The sequence below is a fragment of the Homo sapiens genome, chromosome 6 (genome assembly GCF_000001405.40).
Source record: "Homo sapiens chromosome 6, GRCh38.p14 Primary Assembly".
NCBI lineage: Eukaryota > Metazoa > Chordata > Mammalia > Primates > Hominidae > Homo > Homo sapiens.
The window spans coordinates 31,285,663-31,293,550 of NC_000006.12; the positions used below are offsets into that span (position 1 = coordinate 31,285,663).

The 7,888-nt window shown below is 41.5% G+C and overlaps 1 pseudogene, besides 1 other annotated feature; it reads right to left on the minus strand.

Annotated features, from left to right (window-relative positions):
- On the minus strand, positions 1,839-3,453 carry WASF5P (WASP family member 5, pseudogene; annotated as a pseudogene).
- Positions 2,268-3,118: an enhancer, noted in NCBI's record as "OCT4 hESC enhancer chr6:31255707-31256557 (GRCh37/hg19 assembly coordinates)". NCBI's record gives its function as "activates a minimal SCP1, AML or CMV promoter by ChIP-STARR-seq in primed H9 embryonic stem cells {active_cell/tissue: H9 hESC(primed)}" and the evidence as "EXISTENCE:reporter gene assay evidence [ECO:0000049][PMID:30033119]".

Here is a 7,888-nt window from a genome sequence, read left to right on the forward strand (position 1 = left end):
ATGCCACAGCAGCTGGTACAGCTGAGGAGATCAGATAAACCAGCACAAGCATGGTCATGAAAGGGAGCTGCAGACATATGGTTTCCAGAGTTTCAAAATCCATATGACTAAAATCTATGTGATGCGTATTATATGATGACTGCCTCAAGACAGACAGGTGTCCACTTAGAGACACAGAGCTGTGACTTGCAGGGGCTGGTTGATTTTCTCAGAACTCATTAACCTAAATCCATTAGTTACCATCCTGTTTCCACTCCTATCATCACCTCAGACAACCCTGCGTTTAGCTCAAGATTCTTCCCTTCATCGTAACTGAAAGTCACTAATGACTGCAATCAATTTGAAATACTATAAGTAGGTAAGATTTCCTCAGTAAGTAAATGGTCTTAGCATATTTTTGAAGTCATAACTATAATCAAAGCCTGGGACATTTATTTGCTCTAAACAAGCAGTTATTCTTCATCCAGAATTACACAATAGAAGCTCTCATTCTTGCATTTCCCAACAGTTTGCCTTAGCCAGGAAAATAAACCCCATGGGTCTCTAGCATGACCACAGTGCAAGAATAAGGGGAAGGGCAGAGGTGAGAACTAAGTGCTCTTCTACAGCTACGGGTCTATCAAGGTAATCTTGAGAGGTACTTATCAATATGTGATGTGCCAGCAACAACATGAGGGAAGATAACCACGTGTTTCTAGGATAAGGCAAAGGCCCTGCTCATGGATTCATCCGTAATCTGAACACAGCACATGAAGAGTGAACAGCTGTCAATATCTACTTTCACCTCAATGTAAACTTTCAAAATTAAGACCAAGTGGAGCACGGTGCCCTCTGAAGCACTGTCTGTCACACACTAAGGAGCTAAGAACTCCTGTGGCCTCCTTTAGAACACAGCTCTTCCAGGACACACAATGAGCAGGCCTGCTTTAGCACCCAGGGCCCACATGCAGCTGCTCTGCCCAGAGCTGCCCAGCTCCTGGACCACTCACCTCTGCTCCTGCTGGCTGGTGCCCAAGCTGTAAGGGCTGGCAAATATTTTGAGTATTGGTCCCAAAGGCCCCTGAAGGTGAAAGGATCTTGTTCTTCATTTTCATTACTTCTAAGCACTGAGACCTCTTACAAGAATCATCCACAAGCATTTACTAAGTGAATGTTCACAGGAAACCCTTCCTGAAAAGGGTCCTTCCAACTTTACATTTGACAAGTGTGTACTAAGGCAATAAAACTATTCAACTGAGCATTCAAATTCACACAGAGGATACCACGCCAAGAAAATGAAAGCAGAAATATTGGATTCTCCTTATTTGTTAAACCTTTCCCTCTAGAACCAACAGCTTTTCAAACTCATAAAACACCCCAAAACAGTAAAACAATATCAATTACTCATCTGAAGATATCCACCTGAAACACAGTTATTAATCTTCAAAGGCCTAGCACCAGGCAGCTTCACACAGCACATCTGCAGAATTGTAATGATCAATAAGAGTAAACCCAAAGTACACTAAATACTTTCATGGCCTACAGGAAAAAAAAAAAACGCTCTTTTCAGGACGATGTAATAGTTACACCCTATTTCTTCATGTGCAGCATGATATTCTATGCTTAATGGCATTTAAATGTTACACAGTAAATACTGAGAAAACCCAGAATTTTTGGATGTGCAGAAGCAATATCACATCATTAATACAAAAGGTGCTCAGCTGCGGGATTATAATACCATTGAGTGCTGAGACCACTTGAAATCTTAAGTACATTCTTAGCATATGGTCTCCTGGCTGTCACCCAGCCTGGTACCAGCTACCCACCTGTTGCATAGAGCTAGCCCCAGCACTGCCTTGGTTGGGCCGGTTGTTTTTGTCAAACTCTAAGTCTCCCTCAGAATCCCTGTACTTCTCCACTGCAATGTATTGACAGGGTTGTGACCTTGTCCTTCCCAAGGGGCTCACTCTTGGCCTCTTGCTCACACAGATCCTGCACCTTTTCCAGTCAAATCCCCATTCCAGTAGCAGCAAGGAGATCACTTCTCGTATCACTTTTTGGTGGCTGTGCAGGTTCTTGACACTTTGCCTCAGCTACTGGTGGTAGTGTGGGGGCGAATGCATGGGGAAGACAAAAAAGAAGAACTGAGCCAAGAGGCCTGGTGGGGAAAGTGTGTGGCTGGAGGAGGGAATGCTGGACCCAGGGGCCAGTGGAGGGAGGGTGAGGAGGAGGGTGTGTGGAGCCAGCTGATATGAGGAAGGAGGCGGCAGGAGGATTTGCAGAAGGCAACAAAGGCAGTTTGTACTGTAAAAGGGGGAAGAGAAGGAGGTCTTGACGGGTTGTAATATGCAAGCACCTGTGCTGGGAGCATCCTGTAGTCTCCTGGAGCCATAAGTGCACAGGATTGGAACACAGCTGGGGTAAGGCAGGGAAGTGGGGGCCGCTCTTGAGGTCCATTTAGGGCCATGTGCCTCACTGAGGCAGAGGAGGGGTGGCACTCAAGCTCAGGGGCCTGGTTTGTGGGCCCATGTGGACATGCATCTTCAGCTGCCTAGGAAGGGTCGTGAGAATGGTTTGGAGTAGCTCGATAAGAGCATCCCTAACATCCATTGTATGGGACCTGCTGTCTAGGGACAGGGGTTCTTGCAGGATGCTCCATGGTACACACTGAGACAACCTGTTGCTGGGTCTAAGCTCTTTGTCATATGCCATCATATTCCACTCATGGTGCTTGTTTCTGGCTTTTGTAATCCTTTTCACATCATAAGTGGTGCCATCTATGTGGTTTTGCTACTTTTGATGCCTTCTGTCTTTCCTTTTGTCTTCTGTGTCCTGCAGCACTTCTTCTTTCCAGAGGTCAAATAAATGGGAAGGATCAGTATAGAACTTCAGCCTGTCTTTATCATCTCCATGTGCTCTCATGCTATTCAGGGGAGGTGGTCAATCACTCTGATTGTAAATGTCAGCAGCAGGAGTAGGAATGCTGCTCTTTGAAACTGCTTGCTGGTCTTGGGCTGGGGAACTTTTGAGGGCTTTTTCCATGTTGATGTCCTGTGGTGACACCTCTTCCACTGCTGAATCCAGCTGAGTGACTTTGACCATGAGGCAACAAATTCTAAGAGAATTTGATCTAATGTGGAAGTAGTTAGCCTCCTTAAATAGCTCACCAAATATGTCTTCAGCATGTATGTTCAGATTGCTTAGCTGGTGCGTAATAGTGACAAGATTGTTGTTGGTTACACTTTCAAGTCACTGGTAATCCCTTCAGGCAGAGTTCCCTGGTGCAAATGCTGGGATTAGATGCTCCTCTTCACGGGAGGCATGGCTTATAATGTTCTAATTGACTAATGGCTTCAGAAATTTCCTCAGGAAGCATCACCACTTTGATTCAGATACCAGCAGTAACTGCAATCAAAATTAAAATGATCAGTCCCGCTGATGTAGAGGCAGAGATTGCACTGGTAGCTCCCTGATCTTACTCCACACCAGAACACACATCCCTGGGGCTAGCTAAGTTGCCTCAGGCCAGGCCAAGGCCTTGGTCACCCTATTTGTAATTTTCTCTGCAGTTATTTTGCTTTCATTTATTGAACACCTTAGATATGAGCTAAAATCCCCCACCAAATGTGGGAAACTTTCAACTATTATTTTCTCAAATATTTTTTTCTGATCCTGTGTCTTCTTTTGAGGATCCACTTGCATATCTGGTCACCTGCTTTATATTCTCTGATGGGTTCATGACGTTCTCTTCATTTTTTTCTTTAATCTTATTTCAATCTGTGTTTTGGATTTTAGAATTGAGCACATTCTGGAGATTTATATTCAAAGTCACAGGCTTGTTCTTTATTCTGCCATCTCAAAACTTCTGTGGACCTCTTCCAGAATACTTTCATTTTCTTTTTTTTCTGTTTGAGAATTTCCACTTAGTATCTTACGTGGTTTCAGCAGGGGTTTCTGGGTGTGTGTCCTGCATCTGTGTAATTTAGAGGTTGACCAAGTATTTGGGTCATTTATACTCAGATTTTGTGATTCAACTTCATTGTGGTTGCTTTGTTTCTGGAATTCTCTTTGAATTTCCAATTGTTTTGTTAGACTCAAATCCTGCCTTTTCACCTCTCAAGCCAGTAAGATTTTTGCTTTCTTCTACTGAGCTCTGTGCAGGTTGGCAAATGCACTCAGTCCATGTTACTGAAGACTTGCAGATCTTACCAGGATCATTTATCTCTTTGGAGGGTAGACCTCCCTCTAGTTTCTTTCTGGTTTTTCACCAGATTCCCAAGTGGCCCACACCCATGCAGAGTTTAGTGTTCAACTAGGGATGAGCATAATTTGCATTCACATTGTTGATCTCAACTCTTCTGCAGCTCTCTTTCAACATTCTCATTTACATTTCTAGCTGATTTGGGCTCTGAACTCTATAAACTGCCCATATTGAGCCACTAGGGCTGCAGTTATCTGCTGGGAGGCTGAAGAGCACTCATAGGTAAGAAGGAAAGGCCACCAACTTGCAGTCCTTACCTAAGACAGAAGGAGTCTTAAACAAGAAAGCTCTTATCACATATTGCTTGCCTTTGTTAATTTTCCAGTGACTTCAAATGTTTGTTTTTAGTATTTAGTACAGTTTTCATGTTGCTGTTGGAGGAAAACTTGCTGGTCTATCTCTTCATGTTGCCATAACCAGAAGTTCTACCCTGAAAGAGACTTTTGGGAGAGAAGGTCACAGTCCACAATTCAATCTTCTGAGACAAATATGGATCCAGGCACCAGAAACTGTCAAGTTAGATTTCTAAAATTAAAATAAGATTAGAGCTGGGTGCAGTGGCTCATGTCTGTAATGCCACAACTTTGGGAGGCCAAGGTGGGTGGATTGCTTGAGCCCAGGAGTTCAAGACAAGCCTGGGTAACATGACAAAAACCCATCTCTACAAAAAACACAAAAATTAGCCAGGTGCGGTGGCACACAGCTGTAGTCCCGGCTACTTGGAAGGCTGAGGTGGGAGGATCACCTAAGCCTGGGGCGGTCGAGGCTGCAGTGAGTTGTGTTCGCACCATTGGACTCCAGCCTGGGCAAGAGAGTGAGACCATTGTTTGAAAAAATAAAGATTGAATGAATAATAAAAGAAGATTAGGCCTGGCATCTGTGACCCCAAGGTTCTATGGGAATCACTGACTTCATACAACCTACAATGATAAAGAAGGACACCCTACATATATATGACTGGCCTCTTTAGTATTGGAGAGAGCACATTCCATAGCTCATAACTTTCCGACAGTCTGTGAATCAAGTCACCAAAACTGCAGCTAAAGTTGAATGGAGGCCATGGAAGTAGTTCAGTGAAGTACAAAACAAGCACTGCTTTTGTTCTTGATTCTTTCCCCAAACAATGCACTCACATGTTTTTAATAAATTCTACAGCCGGTTGTAGCTATTGGCAATGAGACCTCCCATTATTGAGGCCCTGGTCTTTTTAACTTGAGGAATTCCAGCAAATCTAAGGAGTACAAGCTCTTTGAGAAATAACTGCATGATATTATTAAACTCTAATGAGGACAGATGATTTCACCAATGAAAAAGTATGACTTCATATCCTGCAAGGGTATTTCTCTAATCCAAAATCCTATGAGCTAGTACAAGTACAGAAACATTCCATAATAAATGGAAATGTCATTTTGATCCAGGCAAAAGTCAAGCATATCTGCCATTTGGCCCTAAATGCTTATTTGGATATTGTTGAGTGTGTGTGTGTGTGTGTGTGTGTGTGTGTGTGTGTGTGTGTGTGTTTGTGTGTGGCAGTCATAGGACTCATTGCCCAAGTTTCAGGGTTTGGGGAAAAAGTTCCATTCTTTTTCTGAATTTGAGTAATAGCTTCTGGCTTACTACTGGGCCCTGGTAGATTCTGAATTCTATGATCATGATACAGAAAATGACCAAGTGACTTGAGATGCCCATTATGACCTGAGTTTTATCGGGTCACTCATGCTCACCAGCCCTCAGTCTGCAAGGGGAAATGGTATACACAGCATCAGACTTTAGCAGGTTCCATAAGGCCAGGTAAGTTGCCTAATAATTTGTACTATACTCCTAATGTTCTTATTACCACTGGAGAGTCCACTCTCCCTTGTCTCATTATTGAGGTCTTGAGGAGTTCCCTAAGGACAACTGACTGTAGAAGGAAAAAAATTTGAGTATGCTTGGATACCCCAGAGTTAACTGTCAGGGCATTAGAGTCTCTTTCAGGAATCATCATTAAGAGTAATGGAAATAAAAATACTTCCAGTGAGAAGATGTTCAATTAGACCATCTGGAAGTGCAGTTTACCAAAAGGAGAAACGTCTTACTGTTGGGTCCTAATCAATGCACAGCAGTAGCTAGTAGTTTCCTTAGATAGTCAGTGACTTTAAAGGAATAAGATGGTAAGGTTTGTGATAAGGAGCGTTGGGGAGGAGATTTGAACCACTCACATGGCACATTTAGGTAAACATACCTACCCTCATGCTAACAAAAATGGATAGTGAAAAAATAAAACACAATGTAGAAGCATTGAGAGGCTTAAACTTTAATAAAAATTGTCAAATCCTAAATCACGGAATTGTGCATTTACTTTTTTTGCTGAGCTTATTTACTTAATGTAGGATAATTAAGGTTTAGTTTTCATGGCCTCCTAAGGCATTTGGAATAGAAGACAGAGTTCAGGTAGCACTCAGAGTGGGAAATTTAATAGAGTGTTCTCCTCATTTCACCAGGATCCCAAAGCCAGCTCCTCAGTATAAGGAAAACATCCTTGCTTGAAGGTCTCCCCAGAAAGTCACCTTGGTGCTGAGTGGAGAGGGGCAAAACCTTCTCCTGAGATTAAAGAGAAGTGGATTTGCAGCCCGAGTTCACACTCCCTGGGTGGTCTAAAAATCATCAAGGCATGAATTTATTTTAAAGTAGTGCAGACTCCAAGGAACCTTGGAAAATCAAGCAAAACTTCTCTGAAAAATTTCTACTGTCATTGGCACTCTGAAAATTCCAAAAAATCATTACACCAGCAAAAGGAGCACTTAACAGTTAAGAACAACAACAGAGAACAATGTTCATAAGAGACAAAGCACCGTGAAAGAACAAGAAAATACAACAGACAGCAGAATCATACAATCATATAACTGAGAAATCAGAATAATTGTATAGGATATAAAATTGCTAAATGGGCTATGATTAAAGAACAGATTGTTAAATACATTTAGTGACTATAAAACTATAAATAATCTTCAGAAAAATTTGAAGAGACAAACACATAACACTTAAGCATGAAAATATAATAATAAAATTTAAATCTCAATGAATTTTGAAGACAAACAATTTAACACAAACACACCTAGTAAAGTACAAGAAGTTCTAAAGAATGTACTTTAGTCACAAAAAGATATCCCAGGTAGAAAGTATGAGGTGAAAGAAAAAAACAAACAAAAAATAAAGGTAAATGGATGGTTAAATATAAATTGAGGTTTAAAAGGATAGTGTATATATTGAGAATCTATAAATATTGTTAAATGAAATACAAATTATTTTATCTTTTTCCAGGTCTAATGTTGGATTTCTTTTCTTCATATTCTGATTAAAATTTCAAGATAAACTTCTCACTCATAATGTGTCCCATTCTGGTTTTGTTTTGTACATTTCAGTATAATGCATATAAAAGAATATTCTGCGGGTCTTTTTATGGTATCTTTCCAAGCTATTGTTGGATTGTCCAGTACTTCACGTTCTCCAACCTTGTAAGTAATGAATGTACAAGTTCAACTGTACATTTTTACTAGTGGGCAGTTTTCCACAATATGAATGCCATTCATGTAGTTGGCGGGACCTGCCAGTGTATCTTTCAGAACCACGGACAGATCTACATGTTCTGGGATGTAGGGAGCTAGA